The sequence below is a fragment of the Homo sapiens genome, chromosome 4 (assembly GCF_000001405.40).
Source record: "Homo sapiens chromosome 4, GRCh38.p14 Primary Assembly".
Lineage (NCBI taxonomy): Eukaryota > Metazoa > Chordata > Mammalia > Primates > Hominidae > Homo > Homo sapiens.
Window position 1 is genome coordinate 146749696 of NC_000004.12, and position 24481 is coordinate 146774176.

The following is a 24481-nucleotide window of genomic DNA, read 5'->3' on the forward strand; positions in this document are numbered from 1 at the left end:
TGTTCTCAAGTAGATTCAACGCAAAGGGGTCAGCTTCAAGGCACATTATAATCAAACTGACAAAAGTCACAGAGAGAGAATTTTAAAAGCAGCAAGAGAAAAACATCAAGTCATATATGAGGGAATCCTCAATAGACTATCAGCAGATTTTTCAGCAGAAACCTTGCAGGCCAGGAGAGAATGGGATGATATATTCAAACTGCTGAAAGAAAAAAACTGCCAGCCAAGAATACTGTACCACTTATGAAGCAAAACGAAGGAGAAATAAAGTCTTTTTCAGATAAACAAAAACTGAGGGAATTTATTGCCACTATACCTGCTTTTTTTTTGAGATGGAGTCTCACTCTGTCGCCCTACATTGGAGTACAGTGGTGCGATCTCGGCTCACTGCAAGCTCTGCCTCCTGGGTTCACGCCATTCTCCTGCCTCAGCCTCCTGAGTAGCTGGGACTACAGGCGCCTGCCACCAGGCTTGGCTAATTTTTTGTATTTTTAGCAGAGACGGGGTTTCGCGGTGTTAGCCAAGATGGTCTCAATCTCCCAACCTTGTGATCCGCCCGCCTCGGCCTCCCAAAGTGCTGGGATTACAGGCATGAGCCACTGCGCCCGGCCCTATACCTGCCTTTTAAGAAACATTTAAGAAAGTTCATGCCGAAAGGAAAATATAATAATTACTATCATTAATACATTTAAAAACAGAAAATGTACTAGTAGAGGTAAATGCATAGTCAAATCTAGAATACTCCTATACTGTAATGGTGGTATGTTAATCACATATACATCTCTAGTATGAAGGTTAAAAATAAAAATGACCAAAAATAACTAAAGCTACAATATATTGTTAAGAAATGTACAATATAAAATGATGTAAATTGTGACATCAAAAACATAACTTGTTGAGGAAGGAGGGTATAAGTCTAGAGGTTTTGTATGCAACAGAGGTTAAATTATTATCGGCTTAGAATAGCAGATTATAAGATTTTTAAATGTAAGTTTCATGGTGATCGCAAAACAAAAAACTATAGCAGATATACAAACAATAAAGGAACTTAAGCTTAGCAATACAGAAAACTATCAAATCACAAAGGTAGACAACAGGAGAGGATGAAAGGAACAAAGGACTTATAAAACAATCTGAAAACAACAAAATGGCAGTGATAAGTCTTTACCTATATCGATAATAACTTTGAATGTAAATGGATTAAATTATCCAATCAAAAGATACAGAGTGGCTAAATGAATTAAAAACAACACCTAAATATTCTCTTCCTACAAAAGCCCTGTTTAAGCTTAAAGACACATGTAGGCTGAATGTGATGAAAGATGACACCCCACATAAATGGTAACCAAAAAAGAGCAGGAGTGACTACACTTATATTGGATAAGATAGACTTCAAGTCAAAAACTGTCACAAGATACAAAGATGGTCACTATTTATTGATAAAGGTGTCAATTCATCAAGAGGACATAATCATTGTAAATATATATGCACCCAACATTGGAGCACCTTAATACATAAAGCAAATATCGATGAACACAAAGAGAAAAATAGATAGCAGTACAATAATAGTAGCAGATTTCAATACCCCACTTTAAATGGATAAATCAATAAGACATAAAATTAATCCATAAATACTGGTACTTGAATTGCACTTTTGACTAAATGGACTTACAAACATATACAGAACTTTCCACCAAACAGCAGAAAATACACATTTTTCACTAGTGGACATAAAACGTTCTTCAGGACAGACCATACGTTAGGCCACAAAACAAGTTAACAAATTTTAGAAGACTAAAGTCACATTAGACCACAGTGGTATGAAAATAAAAATCAATAACACAAGGTATCTTGGAAAATTCACAAATTGTGGAAATTAAACAACATCCTCCTGAGCAACCAACGGATCAAAGAGAAAATCTAAAGGGTAATTAAAAATACGCCAAAAACAGACAAATGAAAATGGAAACACAGGATACCAAAACGTATAGGATACACCAAAAACCGTTCTAAGAGAGACATTTGTAGCAATAAACACTTACATTAAAAAAGATGAAAGAGCTCACATAAATAGTTTAACATTATACCTCCAGGAACTAGAAAAAGAAGAACTAAACAGAAGGAAGGAAATCATAAAAATCAGAACAGAAATAAATCAAATACAAAATAGAAAAATCATAAAATGAATCAATGAAACTAAGACCTGTTTTTTTGAGAAAATAAACAAAATTGACAAACTCTCAGCTAGTCTAAGAAAAAGGAGAGAAGATGCAAATAAAAAATGGAAGTCAAGAAATTATAAAACTGGCACAAGACAGGGATGCCCTCTCTCACCACTGCTATTCAACATAGTGTTGGAAGTACTGGCCAGGGCAATCAGGCAGGAGAAGGGAATAACGGGCATTCAATTAGGAAAAGAGGAAGTCAAATTGTCCCTGTTTGCAGATGACATGATTGTATATCTAGAAAACCCCATTGTCTCAGCCCAAAATCTCCCTAAGCTGATAAGCAACTTCAGCAAAGTCTCAGGATACAAAATCAATGTACAAAAATCACAAGCATTCTTATACGCCAATAACAGACAAACAGAGAGCCAAATCATGAGTGAACTCCCATTCACAATTGCTTCAAACAGAATAAAATAACAAGGGATGTGAAGGACCTCTTCAAGGAGAACTACAAACCACTGCTCAATGAAATAAAAGAGGATACAAACAAATGGAAGAACATTCCATGCTTATGGGTAGGAAGAATCAATATAGTGAAAATGGCCATACTGCCCCAGGTAATTTATAGATTCAGTGCCATCCCCATCAAGCTACCAATGCCTTTCTTCACAGAATTGGAAAAAACTACTTTAAAGTTCATATGGAACCAAAAAAGAGCCCACATTGCCAAGTCAATCCTAAGCCAAAAGAACAAAGCTGGAGGCATCACGCTACCTGACTTCAAACTATACTACAAGGCTACAGTAACCAAAACAGCATGGTACTGGTACCAAAACAGAGATATAGACCAGTGGAACAGAACAGAGCTCTCAGAAATAATGCCACATATCTACAACTATCTGATCTTTGACAAACCTGACCAAAACAAGCAATGGGAAAAGGATTCCCTATTTAATAAATGGTGATGGGAAAACTGGCTAGCCATACGTAGAAAGCCAAAACTGGATCCCTTCCTTATACCTTATACAAAAATTAATTCAAGATGGATTAAAGACTTACATGTCAGGCCTAAACCATAAAAACCCTAGAAGAAAACCTAGGCAATACCATTCAGGACATAGGCATGGGCAAGGACTTCATGTCTAAAAAACCAAAAGCAATGGCAACAAAAGCCAAAATTGACAAATGGGATCTAATTAAACTAAAGAGCTTCTGTACAGCAAAAGAAACCACCATCAGAGTGAACAGGCAACCTACAGAATGGGAGAAAATTTTTGCAACCTACTCATCTGTCAAAGGGCTAATATCCAGAATCTACAATGAACTCAAACAAATTTACAAGAAAAAAACAAACAACCCCATCAAAAAGTGGGCAAAGGATATGAACAGATACTTCTCAAAAGAAGACATTTATGCAGCCAAAAAACACATGAAAAAATGCTCATCATCACTGGCCATCAGAGAAATGCAAATCAAAACCACAATGAGATACCATCTCACACCAGTTAGAATGACGATCATTAAAACGTCAGGAAACAACAGGTGCTGGAGAAGATGTGGAGAAATAGGAACACTTTTACACTGTTGGTGGGACTGTAAACTAGTTCAACCATTGTGGAATTCGGTGTGGCGATTCCTCAGGGATCTAGAACTAGAAATACCATTTGACCCAGCCATCCTATTGCTGGATATATATACCCAAAGGATTATAAATCATGCTGCTATAAAGACACATGCACACATATGTTTATTGTGGCATTATTCACAATAGCAAAGACTTGGAACCAACCCAAATGTCCAACAATGATAGACTGGATTAAGAAAATGTGGCACATATACACCATGGAATACTATGCAGCCATAAGAAATGATGAGTTCATGTCCTTTGTAGGGACATGGATGAAGCTGGAAACCATCATTCTCAGCAAACTATTGCAAGGACAAAAAATCAGACACTGCATGTTTTCACTCATAGGTGGGAATTGAACAATAAGAAAACATGGACACAGGAAGGGGAACATCACACGCCAGGGACTGTTGTGGGGTGGGGGAAGGGGGGAGGGATAGCATTAGGAGATATACCTAATGCTAAATGACGAGTTAATGGGTGCAGCACACCATCATGGCACATGCATACACATGTAACAAACCTGCATGTTGTGCATATGTACCCTAAAACTTAAAGTATAATAATACAAAAAAATAAAATAAAATAAAAATAAAAAATATTTTGGTAAATCTGTTTGTTAAATAAACTACCATCATTTTATATATTTAAAAAAAAAGAAATTATAACAGATGCCTCAGAAATAAAAAGGATCATAAGAGATTACTTCAAACAATTATATGTCAATACATTGGATAACCTAGATTAAAAGGATAAATTGCTAGAAAAATAAAGCCTACCAAGATTGAGTCAGGAAGAACTAGAAAGCCTGAACAGAGATTTGGATATCTTTTAAACAAATAAAAGCCCAGATAGCATACCAGATAAATTCTCGCAAACATACAAAGAAGAATTATACCAATACTTCTTAAGCTCTTCTGAACATATTTTAAGAAGATAGCATTCCTTTAATACCTAAGCCAAAGAAGAGCTCACAAGAAAAGAAAGCTACAGGCCAATTTTTCTGATGAATGTTGATGCAAAAATCCTCAATCAAATATCAGCAAACCAATTTTAACAACACATCAAAAAATGGTATCTCCTGACCAAGTGGGATTTATCCCTGGCATATAAGGCTGGTTTAACATATGCAAATCAATCAATATGATACATCACATTAACAGAATGAAAGATTAAAACCACAAGATTATCTCAATTGACATGGAAAAAGCATTTGACAAAGTTTAACATCCTTTCTTGATAAAAACTGTCAACTGTTTGTGTATAGAAGGAAAGTAGCTCAACATAATAAAGGCCATTCATTAAAATCCCACAACTAACATAATAATGAAGATGAACTAAGATCTAGTATCAGGCAAGATGCCCATTGTTACCACTTCTATTTAACATAGTATTGGAAGTAGTAGCAAGATTAATCAGAAAAGAAAAAGAAATATAAGATACCCAAATCAGAAAGAAAGAATAAAAATGATCTCTGTTTGCAGATGACATGATCCTGTATGTGAAAAACCCACAAAAGAATGGTTTGAACCAATAAATAGAATCAGTAAAATTGCAGGATAAAAAATCAACATACAATATCATAGGATTTCTATACACAAATAGCCACCTTATTGAAAATAAATTTTTAAAAGTCCCATTAATAATAGCATAAAAAAACATAGGAATAAATTTAACCAAGGAAGTGAAAAGTCTCTATATTGAAAACTATACAACACTGATAAAAGAAGTTGAAGAAGACACAAATGGGAAGACACCTGTCCTCATAGATCAGAAGAATTAATATTGTTAAAATGTCCATACTATCTAAGCAATATAAAGTTTTAATGCAATCCTTATCAAAATTCCAATGACATTCTTCACTGAAATAGGAAAAACAATCTTAAAATTTGTGTGGAAGCACAAAATATTCTGAATAGCCAAAACAATTCTGAGAAAGAAAAACAAAATTGGAAGCATCACACTTTCTCGTTTAAAGGAAATGGGGAGATGTAAATCAGACGATAAAAGTAGCAGACATGTAGGATGAACAAATTAGAGATCTAATGTACCACATAGGGACGATAGGTAATAAGATTGTATTGTATATGGGATTCATGCTAAATGAGATTTTAGCTGCTCTTGCCACAAAATCAAGAAGTAATAGGTAAGTATGTGACATGACAGATTTGTTAATTGGCTTCATGATAGTAACTTTTTTTAACTATATATATATATATCCCACAATATTATGTTATATACCTTAGATATACCCAATAAAATTTGTTTTTAAAATACTCTTTAAAAAATTAGGGTTCTGTATCACAAATCCAAAGGTTGCACAAAGTATGACCCAAAACCAAGTCTACCCTATTCCAAAACTAGTTTATTTTTGGAAGCTGCAACCCCAAAAGACTTTTGATCTTAAACATGTATCTCAACCTATTATAGGTTACTAAAATTCAACTTTTAGGTTTAAACAGAATCAGACAATGTGATTTTGTTTAAGAAATTCTGTAGTCAGGCTGGGTGCGGTGGCTCAAGCCTGTAATCCCAGCAATTCGGGAGGCCGAGGCAGGTGGATCATGAGGTCAGGAGATCGAGACCATACTGGCTAACATAATGAAACCCCGTTTCTACTAAAAATACAAAAAATTAGCCAGGCGTAGTGGCAGGTGCCTGTAGTCCCAGCTACTTGGGAGGCTGAGGAGGAAAATGGTGTGAACTCGGGAGGCAGAGCTTGCAGTGAGCAGATTGTACCACTGCACTCCAGTCTGGGTGACAGAGCAAGACTCTGTCTCAAAAAAAAAAAAAAAAAAATCTGTAGTCAGATTCAAATGTCTACTTGTTTTATTATGCTCATGATTTAGAAATCCTATCAAGTAGGCATTACATCCATGAAGTTCAAAATGATACTATGAATGACATTAGCAAAAACAGAATAAAATTAGACATCTGGAATCTAACATAATTTTGTATAAGAAATATTTTGTGAAGACTGTTTAAAGTTTCACTGTCTGTTTAGGGTGATGGTAAGAGTAAAGGCATAGTTCTCTAATGGCATTAAGACAAGTTGCCTCCATATGGACAAGTAGATTTTCAATACAAACTAACCCAGGGAAGTTTTCCTTGATTATTCCCCCAAATATGTTTTCCAAGCTTTTAGAACTCTCTTCTTCCTCAGGAATATCGATTATTCTTAGGTTTGGTCATTTAACATAATCCCAGACTTCTTGGAGTCTTTGTTCATGTATTTTTTTATTCTTTTTTTTTTGTCTTTGTTGGGTTGGGCTAATTCAAATATCTTGTCTTCCAGCTCTGACTTTCTTTCTTCTACTTGTTCCATTCTACTGCTGAGACTTTCCAGAGCATTTCACATTTCTAAAAGTGTGTCCAAAGTTTCCTAAATTTTTTATTGTTTTATCTGTAAGCTACCTATTTCCATGAATATTTCTCCTTTCACTTCTTGTATTATTTTTTGGATTTCCTTGCATTGGGCTTTGCCTTTCTCTGGTCCCCCAGTGATTAGCCTAATAACTAACCTCCTGAATTCTTTTTCAGGTAAATCAGGGATTTCTTCTTGGTTTGGATCCATTGCTGGTGAACTGGTGCAATTTTGGGGGGTGTTGAAGAGCCTTGTTTTGTCATATTATCAGGGTTGTTTTTCTGGTTTCTTCTCATTTGAGTAGGATCTGTCAGAGGGAAGGTCTAGGGCTGAAGGCTGTTGTTCGGATTTTTTTTTTTGTCCCAGGGGGTGTTCCCTTGATGTAGTACTCTCCCCCTTTTCCTACGGATGTGGCTTCCTGTGAGCCGAACTGCAGTGATTATTGTCTCTCTTCTGGGTCTAGCCACCTAGTGAGTCTCCCTGGCTCCAGGCTGGTACTGGGGATAGTCTGCACAGAGTACTGTGATGTGAAATATCTATGCGTCTCTCAGCCGTGGATACCAGTGCCTGTTGCTAGAGATCTAGACATCCAAATACAAGAAGCACAAAGAACACCTGGGAAATTCATGGCAAAAGAATCTTTGCCTAGGCACACTGTCATCAGGTTATCCAAAGTTAAGATGAGGAGAAGAATCTTAAGAGCTGTGAGACAGAAGCACCAGGTAATCTATAAAGGAAAACCTATCAGATTAACAGCAGATTTCTCAGCAGAAACCCTAAAAGCTAGAAGGGATTGGGGCACTATCTTCAGCCTCCTTAAACAAAACAATTACCAGCCAAGAATTTTGTATCCAGCGAAACTAAGCATCATATATGAAGGAAAGATACAGTCTTTTTCAGACAAACAAATGCTGAGAGAATTCATCATTACCAAGCTGCCACTACAAGCTAAAAAGAGCTCTAAATCTTGAAACAAATCCTGGAAACACATCAAAATAAAACCTCTTTAAAGCATAAATCACACAAGACCTCTAAAACAAAAATACAGGTTAAAAAGCGAAAACCAAAACCAAAAAAAAACAAAAACAAAATACACAGGCAACAAAGAGCACAATGAATGCAACAGTACCTCACATCTCAATATTAACATTGACTGTAAATGGCTTAAATGCTGCACTTAAAAGGTATAGAACCACAGAATGGATAAGAACTCACAAACCAACTATTTGCTGCCTTCAGGAGACTTACCTAGAACATATGGACTCACATAAACTTAAAGGGGTGGAAAAAGGCATTTCATGCAAATGGACACCAAAAGCAAGCAGGAGTAGCTATTCTGATATCAGACAAAACATACTTTAAAGCAACAGCAGTTAAAAGAGATGAAGAGGGACATTATATAATGATAAAAGGCCTTGTCCAACAGGAATATATCACAATTCTAAACATATATGCACCTAACACTGGAGCTCCCAAAATTATAAAACAATTACTAATAGACCTAAGAAATGAGATAGACAGCAACACAATAATAGCAGGGGACTTCAATACTCCACTGACAGCACTAGACAAGTCATCAAGACAGAAATTTAACAAAGAAGCAATGGATTTAAACCATACCTTGGTATAAATGGACTTAACAGATATATACAGAACGTTTCATCCAACAACCACAGAATACACATTCTATCCAACAGCGCATGGAACTTTCTCCAAGATAGACCATAAGATAGGCCATAAAACAAGCCTCAATTAATTTAAGAAAATTGAAATTATATCAAGCACTCTCTCAGACCACAGTGGAATAAAACTGGAAATCAACTCCAAAAGGAGTCTTCAAAACCATGCAAATACATGGAAGTTAAATAATCTGCTCCCAAATAAGCATTGGGTCAAAAATGAAATGAAGATGGAAATTAAAAAATTCTTCGAACTTAATGACAATAATGACACAACCTATCAAGACCTCTGGGATACAGCAAAGGCAGTGCTAAGAGGAAAGTTCATAGCCCTAAACACCTACATCAAAAAGACTGAAAGAGCACGAACTGACACTATAAGGTCACAACTCAAGGAACTAGAGAAACAAGAACAAACCAAACCCACACCCAAGAGAAGAAAGGAAATAACCAAGATCAGAGCAGAACTAAATGAAATTGAAATAAAAAAATACAAAACATAAAGGAAACAAAGAGCTGGTTCTTTTAAAAGATAAGATTGGTAGACCATTGGCAAGATTAACCAAGGAGAGAGAAAATCCATATAATCTCACTAAGAAATGAAGCAGGAGATATTACAACTGACACCACTGAAATACAAAAGATCATTCAAGGCTACTATGAACACCTTTACACACATAAACTAGAAAACCTAGAAGACATGAATAAATTCCTGGAAAAATACAACCCTCCTAGCTTAAATCAGGAAGAATTAGATACCCTAAACAGACCAATAACAAGCAGTGAGATTGAAATGGTAATTACAAAATTAGCAAGAAACATTCAAAGAAGAATTGGTACCAATACTTCTGACACTATTTCACAAGATAGAGAAAGAAGGAACCCTCCCTAATTCATTCTATGAAGCCAGCATAACCCTAATACCAAAACCAGGAAAGGACATAACCAAAAAAGAAAACTACAGACTGATATCCTTGACGAATATAGATACTAAAATCCTTAACAAAATATTTGCTAACTGAATCCAACAACATATCATAAAGATAATCCACCATGATCAAGTGGGTTTCATACCAAGGATGCAGGGATGGTTTAACATACACAAGTCAATAAATGTGATACACCACACAAACAGAATTAAAAACAAAAATCACATGATCATTTCAATAGATGCAGAAAAAGCATTCAACAAAATCCAGCATCGCTTTATGATTAAAACTCTCAGCAAAATTGGCATACAAGGGACATACCTTAATGTAGTAAAAGCCATCTATGACAAACCCATAGCCAACATAACACTGAATGAGGAAAAGTTGAAAACATTCCCTCTGAGAACAGGAACAAGAAAAGGATGCCCACTCTCACCACTCCTCTTCCACATAGTACTGGAAGTCCTAGCCAGAACAATCAGACAAGAGAAGGAAATAAAGGGCATTCAAATCAGTAAAGAGGAAGTCAAACTGTCACTGTTTGCTGACAATATGATTGTTTACCTTTAATACCCTACGGACTCCCCCAGAAAGCTCTTTGAACTGATAAAAAGAATTCAGCAAAGTTTCTGGATACAAGATTAATGTACACAAATCAGTAGCTCTTCTATACACCAACAATAACCAAGAAGAGATTCAAATTGAGAACTCACCCCCTTTTACAACAGCTGCAAAAAATTTAAAATACTTAGCAATATACCTAACCAAGGAGTTGAAAGACCTCTATGAGGAAAACTACAAAACACTGCTGAAAGAAATCATAGATGATACAAACAAACGGAAACACATCCCATGCTCATGGACGGGTAGAATCAATATTGTGAAAATGACCATAATGCCAAAAGCAATCTACAAATTCAATGCAATCCCCATGAAAAGACCACCATCATTCTTCACAAAATTAGAAAAAAAATTCTAAAATTCACATGGTACCAAAAAAGAGCCCACATAGCCAAACCAAGAGTAAGCAAAAAGTACAAATCTAGAGGCATCACACTACCTGATTTCAAACTATACTGTAAGGCCATAGTCACTAAAACAGCATGGTACTGGTACAGAAATAGGCATATAGACCAATGGAACAGAATAGAGAACCCAGAAATGAACCCAAATACTTCGAGCCAACTGATCTTTGACAAAGCAAACAAAAACATAAAGTGGGGAAAGGACACCCTTTTCAACAAATGGTGCTGGGATCATTGGCTAGCTACATATATATACATATATATGTGTATATATATATATATGATGGAATACTATATATATATGATGGAATACTATATATATATGATGGAATACTATATATATATATGATGGAATACTATATATATATGATGGAATACTATATATATATATATATGATGGAATACTACACAGCCATAAAAAGGAATGAATTAACAGCATCTACAGTGACCTGGATGAGATTGGAGACTATTATTCTATTATTCTAAGTGAAGTAACTCAGGAATGGAAAATCAAACATTGTTTATATGTTCTCACTGATATGTGGGAGCTAAGCTATGAGGATGCAAAGGCATAAGAATGATACAATGGACTTTGGGGACTTTGGGGGAAGAGTGGGAGTTGGGGCAAGGGATAGAAGACTACAAATATGGTGCAGTGTTAGGTGCATCAAAATCTCATAAGTCACCACTAAAGAACTTACTCATGTAACCAAATACCACCTGAACCCCAATAATAACTAATGGAAAAAAATACAAACTAACCATCTTCTACATCATTCAATCACAAATATAATCTTAGGTGATAGGCAGCTACGTAGGTCTTTTTATCTTTTTTTACAGTTTAGGAAGTAACCCTGAATTCCACAAATTAGAGTGGGTCAATTAAAGAACACAAGGGCATAAAGATTATGAAGAAGATTCTCTTGTGTCACAAATTATGCATGAAAACAATTCTTTCTCTCTTACTCTTTAGTAATTGGTAATTTTTCTAGAACAAATATATTCAAGTAAGCTTCCAATGCACACTTTGTACACTGCATGCATAATCAATGTTGAAATCAGAGCTAAGTGTGGGTGAATAATATTTTTTGAGTTAGGGGGTCAAAGCTGCCTTGTATTCCACTGGGTTAGATTTGGAGGTTGCAGGAGATTTTAGTTGAGTAGTTTCCCTAAACAGAGTAGTTTTTTTTTTTTTTTTTGTAGACTTGTCTCTTTGCTCCCTTTTACTTACTCTTTTTTAGTATGGTGTAGTATACATAATTTAAATAACCAGGGAATGTCTCTGGGCTCAAAACCACCTGCTGGCTTATATTAGCTAATTAATGATGATTTATCTGAGTTACTAATTTGAGTGGAGCTGAATGCCCTTAGGAATTTGAGAAACGTTGTAAGAATTCTGATTAAAATTATGCCTTTGTGACGGACATTCTTCTTAAAAGGCGTTTATAAAAATGTTGCCTGTTAGCAGATTTAAAAAAACAAAAACAAAAACAAAAACCTGCCAAATAAATGACCTTGTGTTTTTTTTCTGGGCTCAAATCATGTCTTATGGCAGTCTGCTTGCTCTTGTTATTCAATTTTATCTCTGCTAGGCTTCCTTTCATTTCGTCTCTTATTAAGGTTTATTTGCCTAGTTTTATAGGGCTTTGACTGCTTGAAAAATAGAACTGATCTTGAATCCACAGAGCTCCATCATTTTCACAAAAACTAATACAGTGGATTCATTTCAGCCAAACTTGTGTGTCAGGCTGGCCTGATTCCCAGGGCCTGAATATGTGAATTTAATGGTGGTACAACGTCTGAGGTTGGAATATAATAGAAAGCTCTCAGCAGTATATCTATTGGATCAGTGTAATTTCTTTTTTTTTTTTTTTTCCTGTGAGTCTCAATGTCTCTTAAGGCAATGTAGTCTGTGTAAAAGCTGGCTGGCTATCTCTTACTGAGATCCCACTGCTGTTACAGTCAACAAAGAATCATCTCCTTGGATAACGTATATAGTAGGCAACAGTTAAATACACAATTAGGGTTCACTGAAACAGTAATTCTATTAACTGGTATGTTCTATTTCTATTTCAAGAAAAGGTGCCATAATTAACACAGGATCACTGCTTTGAAACATCTGGATTTAGAAATTGTTTATCTAGCCTAGTCATCTGCCCTTTTTCTCCTCCTTCTAAAAACATGATTCAAGTAATCATAAAATGCATTTTGATTTCTCAGTGACCTCAGACTCATAGTTTGCCTGGCTTGTCTACTACTAAGGGATATAACCGAAGTATAATTTTCCACTTTTTTGGATTCCTGGTATATTTTCCAGAACATGGAAAATATTTTTTTATTTATTTCAAAAAAAGTAAACAAAATATATAAGCAATATATGCCCATAATTTACAATGTGACAACCCAAACAAAGCTTTGTTATTTCAACTTTGAGCTGCAATTGTTTAGCTAACATTATTTCTGGATTTAGGGCTTATAGTCAATTCCCTAGGGCGGAAGTTTTCATAGCAGTCAATTCCTTTGCATTTTTAATAGTTCTGCCCACCTGTTTGGTTATTCTAAAGTACTTTGGAATTTTAGATACCCAGAACTTCTCTCACCTCTCTTTATTTTAATTGTGCAGCTTTCAGTTTCTTAGGCCTTACAAGGCTCTTTAGCCACACTGAATTCAACCAGTTCCCTGTTGCTTGTACTATGCTTCTGATGTTTCCTTTTTTTTCCTTCCCCAAAATATGACTGCATTAAGTAAATATAAAGTTAAGGAAGAGATAAGTCTTTTCATTAACTTTATGTTCAACAGTTATATATTCTTGGAGTTTTGAATGAAGAATTTTCCTGATTCCCACAGACTTTCCCATTCTCTCCTATTTCTGACTTTTTTAACTACAAGGAATTTTGTTGATGATAATCCAGTTCCATGTCAGCCCACTGCATGGTGGTTATAGATCTCAGGCCTCCCAGCTCTACCAGAATGTAGTGTAGGGTAGGGTAGAATGTAACATTCATCCATATTCAAATGACTGGAAGTTTAAGTATTGTGAGACTGGAAAGGGTTTTTTAAGGGTGATGAGCAATTGAATTTAGGTTAGTGCTCTTAAGGCAACACGATGAGCAGGTGTACTTATCTAATAATGTTCAGATAGATTTAGTTAAATATCACATTTTCAGAAAAAGATATTCTTTCAGTGAATAACAGAGGCAGGGGAGAGAGCATAGTAGGATGACAGAAGTAAAAGTGATATCAGTTTCTTTATCTTGGTTACCATCTAAAGTGAGTTCTGAAAGTGGAAGTCATATACCGTGACTTCCAAACTTGCTACACTTACAGACTTCACCAGAAAGCCTCTTCTTTTCAATCTGTATCTTATTCCTTTTTCAGGTATGGTGCATTAATATTTATAGGCTGACTCCACACAAGTTCTAAACTTTGGTCTAGAAAAAAATAACACACAAAATAACAGGTTTGATGGCTTAAGGCAGAGGGGGGGACAATGACTGCACCTACCTCACTCAATTCTCACATTTAAATCCCCCTGCTATGGCAATGCAACATAGTAATGTTTCAAGTGCACAACATGGAGGATATACCCCAAAAGCATCTCTTAAACCACTTTTTGAAAGTTTAACATATGGATTTGAAATTCTTGGTGATTTCTAACATTCAGAACAAGTTTTGCATTCAGTATTCAATCACCCTGTGATCCGTTCCATTTCAAGAGTGGTATAGGGGAGAAAATAGATTCCAATTCATAGCTACTGTATTGTGCAAGATTCTTATTAAAAACAGCATATTCCTGTAGCCCAGAGGGCTGACAGCTTTTTCCAAAGCAAAACCGCTGCTCTAAGCTAACCTCAAGGGGCTACTCGAGAGAGATGCAGCCTTAACCCCTCTCATTGTGGCGGTGGGGAGGAGGAGAGAGGAGGGCAGATAGTATCATATCCTACCACAACTCCAAACCTTTATCACCTCAATAAGTAATGTTTCTTAAGGCATTACTGACATTCAGTTCCCTGGTTAATTGGTTTATAAGTACTTCAATAAAAATAATTATTTTAAAAAGAAAAAAAACCTTAAAATAGAATCAGTTTAGGAGCGTACCCATACATAGGCTCAGTTATGTAAGAATTTTTCCTATTTTAAAAAAATCATGTTCGAACATAGGTATCATTTGCTTCTATTTCATCGCTTGTACTTGACGTTTTACCTGCAGATGATCAAACTATAATAAAGGGATCACTGCCAGACTTAGGCTTTAACAATGTTGAGTAAAGCAATGCTTGGAGACGTGGTGCTGAGGAACAGAAATGTACTGAATAAATTCAGTTCAAACAGGATGATCATGTCCTGAGGTACCACTAACGTTGGTGTTTTTTCTTATTGCCTACTGATAGTGACAGCAACTGCGAAGAGAGTTTGTCTCTTTCTTTTTCTTTTCCATGATGATCATCAGTTTGCTGATTTCATGATCTCACGTTTCATGTACAGCCTTGTTAACTTTAAGTTTAGCCATAAGCATTATTGGTGTATTTTTCTATGCATTACCAAAAAAGTCTTCATTAATGTTATGTCAGACCTCAATGTATTAACTTACCATTTTATAGATTTTAAAAATGCAATTAAAAGTTTGGAAGAATTTTAGGGCTTATTTTAAAATTGTTGGTCTTTTATAACTTAAAGGCATGTACATGCAGATATGTTAAAAATGTAATTCTCTGCTATTTAAAAAATTTAGAACATTAAATCCTCAATATAAAAAAGAGAGGTGTGTTATTAAGACAAAGTCACATGAAAGAGATAACAATTTTCATGGAAAGTAATTCTTTATAAAGTGAAATTATTATTTAAATGCTCGGTCATTTCTTTAAAAGAGACCAAAAACCATAAGGTAACATTTAGGCAAAATGCATTTGACTAACCGGGTTTTAATTTCTCGAACTCCTGATCTCAAATAATCCACCTGCCTTGGCCTCCCAAAGTGCTGGGATTACAGGCACGAGCCAACGCGCTCAGCCCCACGATTTAATTTCTAATGGGCTAAGTTTGGAACTAAAACCCTAATTTTTATCTTACCTACAAAAATGAGAATATCGTCTGTAATTTCTTCCTGAAAGCATCTCTGCATACTAAGTACGTGATCCTTCAGTGATAACAAGGTATTTCTTGTTTCTACTTAAGCAATAACACTCCCACTTGATTTGGGTTGTAATGTGGCCCCAAACGGAGTGAATGGATTAGACAAGCAGCCTTCATAAGACAGACAGACCTGGGCATTTGCCCAATTTTACCATTTTAAATGATGATGATACTCTATGACTGATTTTTTTTTAAAGGAACTTGGTCTGGGAGTGCAAATTCAAAGGATATAAATCAACTGTCAATAACATTGACAGAAATGTTTTTAAAGCTTCAACTCTCTAGAGGGGACTGTTGTTCGGAATATATGGCCTCTGCCATAAACACATATGCAGGTCAGGTAGCTGGATTCTCAAGGAGAGCAAAACACTAAAGGTAAGTTAGGGGCTTCAGAAATGAAGTAAATCTGGGAAGCAGAGAGGTCTTGAGTCAAAGTATTATTTACTCGGATTCACAGTGTCTTAGTTCAACTGTGCTCAGCTAAAGAAAACAATCAGACTAAGCCAATATATTCTAGTGTATGAATGGCCATGACCATTGTATGGGTGTTTGCATTTAAAACTGTTAACTTAAAGAAGTACCTAATTATGGAACCCCAAGCAGAGGAGCAACGTGTATGTTAGCAAATAGTTTTGGCACATGAGAGAAGATGCTTCTGAACAGGAGATCATTATGTGTAAACATGGTCTTTGTGTTGGCAAGTACCACAGAACAAATTCTTCTTTTCATTTGTTATGATTTTCATAGCTGTTTCTTCTTCTCTACTTCTACACCAATTGGTACTCTCAAATATAACTTTTATAGTTCTTTCTGACATTCTTAAAGCATTGATGGGTGAAAGCAGCTTTATTGTCTTGCAGGGATAGGTAGGGTTAAATATTTCTAAATAATTATTTAAATAATGTATTTCTTGCATATGGACAACCTGTCTGATAAAAAAATTAAAAAATGAATTAGTATTTTTTAGAAGTGGGTTTGTGATAAAGCTATTAGTCTCATTATTGCTAAATTACATTGCAGTGATTTTCAAAACTGGGTTAAATGACATTATGTATAGATGTACTTTAGTGTTAGGTTTTATAAGATCTTTGGCAAAGTATGAAGCTACAAGATTCAGTAAATTGTTAAATAATTTTTTCTCAATCAACTTACAACCCAAAAAGAAAATGCAGCCCCTAGGTAGGTTAGAAGGGCTTGTAACAGGGATTGTGAATTGGGAAGAAGTAGTTAGGTAGTGGGCAATTGATATTATTAGAGATAGACATTTAGAAGTTGTCCAGTCCTTAAATTAATTGTTTAAGATAAAAAAAAGATAATTGACAAATTCCAATTGGAATTCTTTTAGAATAATTCATGAAATCATCCTGTAGACAAAACATTTATTCATCATTTAGCTATTGCTTTAGCAACTTGGTATTATAGATTCCACTGGAGCTTCCCTAGGTTTCCTTCGTAACACATGTCACTTCTAGCATTTGACATGAGAAAAGAATGTTCTTTTATGATCTTAGTGCAAAGATTTCATCCTATTTATGATACTTTAAATCATTCCCCTTGTAGTTAATCATATCTGATAGCTAGAATCAGAGAGCCCTGGTTTTAGTCCTGGTTCTACCATCTTCTGCCTGGTTCACTGGGGTCAAATTGCTTAACCTCTCCAAGCTTTCATTTTCTCAACCGTAAAATGCAGCCATTTTTTAATGATGTTTTTGACAACTGCTCTGGGTCTCTCACTGTTCTGTTCTAATTGTCAATGCCTTAGATCTTTCCCTACCTTTCTTCTCCCCCAAATGAAAACTTATTGTTTTGTCCCATTGCTTCAGGGCCTTGTTAATGTGTTAGCTAACTAATAATTCCCCTCCCAGATAACAAAATGCCTTAATTTAGTGGAAGCGCACATTTCTTCTAAATGATAATAACTTATATTTGTATAAAGATCTATAGGTTGCTGTTTGGCATATATGTACTCTGTTAATTCACATAACATACCTGAAGTAGGATATTATTGTCTATATTTAGTGGATAAGTAAACTAACACTAACAAGAGCTCAAGTAAGTTTCTCAAGGATACATGCATAATTTGCGAGTCAAGCTCTAGGTCAGCTACATCTATGTGCAGTATTTGTTCTACTTCACAGTTGTAATCAATAAAATGCTCAGCTCATATTGTAAAATAGGGGAATTTCAGACCTGAATAATGTCTGCTATTGCAAAAATAAAAATGGAGAGGTCCCCCTTGTCACTCATAACTTTGTGTGTTGAAAACCATCTATTTAACATACCTGGGCTTCAGCTTCCTTACCTTTAAAATTCAAGGGTTGGATAAGGTGATCTTCTAGGTCCATTTTCATTTTAATATTCCATGATTCTATGAACATATATATTATAGCTGCAATTCCTACACCAATTTTCATTTTCTTTCCAGTTTATATCAATAGTTGTGCAGGGAATTTATTTGTCAGGAAGTAAAATAGCATTTCAAAATGTGTTATGATATGTAATTTTTTTAGAGGAAAGAAGAGAAAGTAAAGAAAATTGAGTATTAAGTTTGAAGATTCAAATAGGAGAGTGTAGCCATCATTTTCTCTTGACCAAGTAACAATTTCTGTGAGGTTGTCCTGTGTACTGACAAGTGCTTAGTTTTAGGAGGGATGTCCATAGAGCAGTCGATGAGGAAGGGGACCCTGCTTAGCTATCCCCATCAGCTAAATTAACTCCAACCATCAGTAGGTAACAAATGTGGAAATAAGATCATCAACATACTCATGGATTACATTTTGAAAAGTCAGAAGCAAAACAGTATTAAGCTGTGTAGTCAAAACCGAAGTTGCTCAAGTTAAATATAATTCTCTCTTTATTACTATAAACTGTCTGAGAAAATCTGGCTCAAATTTATAAGACAGTCTAAAAGCAAAATTAAAGAAAAAGATGACAATTTTGAAGAGATTTTTTCCCCTCCATTAACACAACTAGGCTGGCTGAGCTGTGAAACTGTGATGGAAATATTAGAGCTGTTGTGCCTGAAAAAAAATGCAGTGATCATTTCATTCTTCCTGTCTTTTAATGCTCCAGGGTTTTGGAGACGAATAGGAGCAATAAGTTCACTTTGCAGAATTAATGCAGTAATTCTTTATCATAAGAGCAGAGCATTACCTCAATCTGATTTTGCTACAAAATGGTTCAAAGTCTATTTTTAATGATGGCCCTAATTTGTTAACACCTTTTAAATTATTAATCCCCTTTATATTCAAGTAGTTATTGCATGTCATAACAATGTATCTATGCAGGGAAATTTAATAGTATTTTCTAGATGTCAAGAAAAGGCTTGTTCTGCAAAATGCTATTAAAACTGATAATGAGCTAAATATTTGCCATAGCAAACACTGAAATTACTATATCAATCAGCATTGGGCTCTCTTATTCAATAAACAGAAATTAACCTATTAACTATGCCTAACTTTCAGCGACAAAATGGTTGCTTTCAAGCATTTCTCCCCACTTCAAATCTTTCTTTCCTTAAAAACTACATATTGCCCTATAATCTCAGAATTTTGAATAAAATTCTTAGTATCGGTGTTTGTGGTTGAAATTTTGAACACATAAGACATTAAAATGTCAATCTTTTGCTGTAGTGATTGCGAATATTTTTGACTTTCCTTTTAGACAAACACTGACTTATCAGCAATAAAAATACTATATCTGATAAAAATCTAATATTCAAGCTTAATATTTTCCTGATTTCTAGAATTTTTTTAAAAAATGGTTTCTCTCTTACTTTATCAATTATGGGATTTGACTAAGTATAACTACAAAAAATATGCTAGTGAAAGGTAGTATAAGGATCTACCATTGGTTAATTCTAGCTTTTAGATACTAAAATAGGGATTAAGCATATATTTTTTATGCCTACCCAGAAGAAAGATGTAGATGCAAAAGCACTTTACACACCATTAAAAACAAAAGAAAGTCAGTCCCCACTTCTGCTGTAAGTTAAGCAATACTGAACAGATGTGTTGTCTGTCTTCACTTGGTGATATATTCTCCATCCAATAATCATTTTAGTTATACTTTGGGCCGAGAATCAGTGTTGCACAACAGTGACCCTGAATTGGGTTTAGTTCTGATGCTTTTCTGTTATTTCTTATGCAAGTTTAAGGAACTTGAACAGCTTCAGTTGCTTTCACTGTTTCTAAATTTCTAAAAAAATGATACTGCACAATAGATGATAACTGTAGTTAAGCACAATAAAAATAATGCTAAGCAATGGTGCTTTAAACTTCTCAAAGCTTTTTGTGTCTGTTTGTTACAACTCCCCTTAAGTAGGCAGGCTAAACATCATCTTTATTAAATAGATTAAAAGGCAGACCTAGAGAAGCCGATGATTTGCTCAAGCAAGTGGGGGCACTGGGAAAAGAATCTGGACTTCATGGTTTTCAGGCTTATAATTCCAGCGGTTCTCAACACTAGTTGTTCCTTAGGCTCACTTGGGGAACTTTAGAAAAAAAAAATTTCTGAATGACACTCAATTAATGCCTATTTAAATCCAAATCCCTGGTGTGAGGTCTCTGCATCAGTAGCTTTAAAAAAACTAACAGTGGAGTCTGAAGTGCAGCCAGAGTAGAGAACTCTGGGCATTTTGTAAAATGCAGAGGATGATCTAGTAGATCTGAGTGGGTCTGAGCTTCTGCATTTCTCAAAAAAAGCCTTCTGGGTAATGTCCACACTGCCAGGAACCACACTTAGTAGTAGGGTCATTTATCCTCCTTCACATCAGTTTTCTACTGCCACCTTGATGGGAAAACGTTTTCACTTTTTTTTTTTAACTCTTTCATATTTGAGAAACTGGAGGCAAATATTCCTCGAATTGGCCTGTAATGTCTTTGACTTAAATAAATTACAAATTGCTTAACAAAAATACACTCAACTGAATTCTGGTCTTTAGGAAGTTCAAAATTAAGCATAATTGCATAAGAGATAACATTCTCCCAATTCAGATAACTCAAGAGTCAGTGACCAAGTAGGGCAAAGATAGTGTGGTTCAAAGCATGGATTCTGCAATCAAACAAACCTGGGTTCAGATTCCAGCTATGTTACTTACCAATGTGTCCCCTAATATCTCTAAGCTTCAGTTTTCTAATGTGTAAAATGGAAGCAATAATATCTGTTTGGTTTAGTCTTTCTCTCGATATGTCCCAAGCCAACTTGATGTCAGGCAGTATTCAGAGGAAAGCAGGGTAGCCTAGGTCCCTGCTGCCAAGAAGCTTACCAATAACTAACTTATAATACATTTGTAAGAATAAATGAGAAACTGCATGAAAATTGCTTAGCATAGGGCCTAACATGCAAGGGCTCAATAAATGTTAGTCATTATTTTCTATTAGTTCTAAAGTTTTAGCTGTTATTATGTCCAATTAGCACATACTGTTTTGATATGTTAATACTCAATAAGAACAGAAGCCATTGATTAAATATACACATCATAATTTTTGATACAGTGTAAGACCTCACAGGCACATTATATGAATATGCCCAGAAGCAGAGAGCTAAGCCTTCATTATTAAGAAACATGTGGACTTTAGTTGTCAGTTTTATGGTTAGGTTTTAGTCAAAGACTATATGTTGCTCAGATGTTTCTTTGTTTTAACTTTTATTTTAGATTCAGGGGTACATGTGCAGGTTTGTTATATAGGCAAATTGTGTGTCATGGGGCTTTAGTGTACAGATTATTTTGTCACCCAGGTAATAAGCATAGTATCTGATAGGTAGTTTTTCAATCCTGTCCCTCCTACCACCCTCTGCCCTCCAGTAGGCCGAGTGTCTGCTGTTTCCTTCTTTGTGTTCCTGTGTACTCAATGTTTAGCTCCCACTTGTTGGCGAGAACATGCAGTATTTGGTTTTCTGTTTCTGTCTTAGTTCACTTAGGATAATGGCCTCCAGCTCTATCCATATTGCTGCAAAGGACATGATCTCATTCCTTTTCATGGTTGTGTAGTATTTCATGGTGTATACATAACACATTTTCTTTATCTAGTCTACCATTTGATAGGCATTTAGGTTGATTCTATGTCTTTGCTGTTGTGAATAGTGCTATGATGAACATATGTATGCATGTGTCTTTACGTAGAACAATTTATATTCCTTTGGGTATACACCGAGTAACAGGGTTTTTGGGTTGAATGGTAGTTCTGTTTTAAATTCTTTGCCCTGCCTTCCGCAATGGCTGAACTAATTTGCATTCCCACCAGCAGTGGGATATAAGCATTCCCTTTTCTCCACAACCTTACCAGCATCTGTTATTTTTTGACTTTTTAATAATAGCCATTCTGACTGGTGTGAGATGGTATCTCATTGTGATTTTAATTTACATTTCTCTAATGATTAGTGATGGTGAGCATCTTCTTATATGCTTGTTGGCTGCGTGTATGTCTTTTGAAAAGTGTCTGTTCATGTCCTTTGCTCACTTTTTAATGGGGTTGTTTGTTTTCTGCTTGTTATTTGTTTAAGTTCCTTATAGATTCTGGATATTAGACCTTTGTTGGATGTGTAGTTTGCAAATATATTCTCCCATTCTGTAGGTTGTCTGTTTACTATGTCGATAGTTTCTTTTGCTGTGCAGAAGCTCTTTAGTTTAATTAGGTTCCATTTGTCAATTTTTATTTTTGTTGCAATTGCTTTTGGCATCTCTGTCATAAAATCTTTGCCAGGTCCTATGTCCAGAATGGTATTTCCTAGGTTATCTTGCAGAGTTTTTACAGTTTTAGATTTTACCTTGAGTTGATTTTTTGTATATGATGTAAGAAAGGGGTCCAGTTTCAATCTCCTCCATATGGCTACCCAGTTATCCCAGAACCATTTAGTGAACAGGGAATTCTGTCCACATTGCTTGTTTTTGTCAAAGATCAGATGATTGCAGGTGCGCAGCCTTATTTCTGGGCTCTCTATTTTGTTCCATTAGTCTATGTGCCTGTTTTTGTACCAGTACCATGTGATTTTGGTTACTATAACCTTGTAGTATAGTTTGAAGTCAGGTAATGTGATGTCTCCAGCTTTGTTCTTCTTGCTTAGGATTGTCTTGGCTGTTTAGACTCTTTTTTGTTCTCTATTAATTTTTAAATAGTTGGTTTTTTTGGTTCTGTGAAGAATGTTGTTGGCAGTTTGACAGGAATAGCATTGAATCTGTAAGTTGCTTTGGGTAATATGACCATTGTAACAATATTGATTCTTTCTATCTATGAGCATGGAATATCTTTTCATTTGTGTTATCTCTGATATCTTTGAGCAGTGTTTTGTAATTTTCATAGTAGTGATCTTTCACCTCTCTGGCTAGCTGTATTTGTGTATTTTATTCTTTTTGTGGCTATTATGAATGAGACTGCTTTATTGATTTGACTCTCAACTTGGACTTTGTGGGAGTATAGAAATGCTACTGATTTTTGTTCATTGATTTTTGTATCCTGAAACTTTGCTGAAGTTGTTTATCACATCAAGGAGCTTTTGGGCAGAGACTATGGGTTTTCCAGGTATAGTATCATCTAGTCTGCAAACAGAGAGTTTGCCTTTCTCTTTTTCTATTTGGATGAATTTTATTTCTTTCTCTTGCCCTATTGCTCTGGCTGGGGCTTCCAGTACTATGTCAAATAGGAATGTTGAGAGTAGGCATCCTTGTCTTGTTCTGGTTCTCAAAACCAATGCTTCCAGCTTGTGACCATTCAGTATGATGTTGGCTGTGTGTTTGTCATGGATGCCTCTTATTATTTTCAGGTATGTTCCTTCAATGCCCAGTTTGTTGAGGGTTTTAACTTGAAGAGATATTCAGTTTTATTGAAAACATTTTCTGCATCCATTGAGATGATCATGAGATTTTTGTTTTTAGTTCTGTTTATGTGATGAATCACATATATTCATCTGCATGTGTTGAACCAATCTTGCATACCAGAGCTTACAGACTACTTGATCATAGGCTCTAATCTACTTGATCATAGATTAGTTTGGTGATATACTGCTGGGTTTGGTTTGCTGGTATTTTGTTGTGGATTTTTACATTTATGTTCTTCAAGGATATTGGCCTGAAGTTTTCTCTTTTTTTGTGTATATCTGCCAGGTTATAGTATCAGGATGATGCTGGTCTCATAGAATGAATAAGTGAGGAGTTCCTCCTTCTCAGGGTTTTTTTTTTTAATACTTTCAGTAGGAATGGCACCAGCTCTTCTTTATATATCTGGTAGAATTCAGCTGTGAATCCATCTGGTCCTGGGTTTCTTCTTATTCATAGGCTTTTTATCACTGATTCAGTTTTAGAACCTCTGATTTGTTTGTTCATTGATTCAATTTCTTCCTGGTTCAATATTGGGAAGCTGTATGTTTCCAGGAATTTATCTATTTCTTCTAGGTTTTCTAGTTTGTGTGCATAGAGTTGTTCATGTCTGTAATGGTTACTTGTATATGTGTGGTGTTGGAGGTCATGACTCATTTGTCATTTCTGATTGTGTTCCTTTGGATATTCTTTATTAGTTTAGCTAGCAGTCTATCTGTCTTATTTATTCTTTCAAAAAACC

General features: G+C 35.3%; 1 protein-coding gene across 11 annotated transcripts in view; it reads right to left on the minus strand.

Annotated features, from left to right (window-relative positions):
- The window catches only part of TTC29 (tetratricopeptide repeat domain 29), a 239248-nt gene that overhangs the window by 43079 nt on the left and 171688 nt on the right, over window positions 1-24481 (minus strand). For 2 of the 11 annotated variants that reach the window (XM_047416242.1, XM_047416241.1), the window contains exon 13: window positions 14119-14224. The exons of the other annotated variants lie outside the window; for them this stretch is intronic. In XM_047416242.1, coding sequence (XP_047272198.1) covers window positions 14157-14224 — 68 coding nt within the window. In that variant the 3' untranslated portion in view covers window positions 14119-14156. The remainder of the gene's footprint in view (window positions 1-14118; window positions 14225-24481) is intronic. 11 annotated transcript variants of the gene reach the window in all.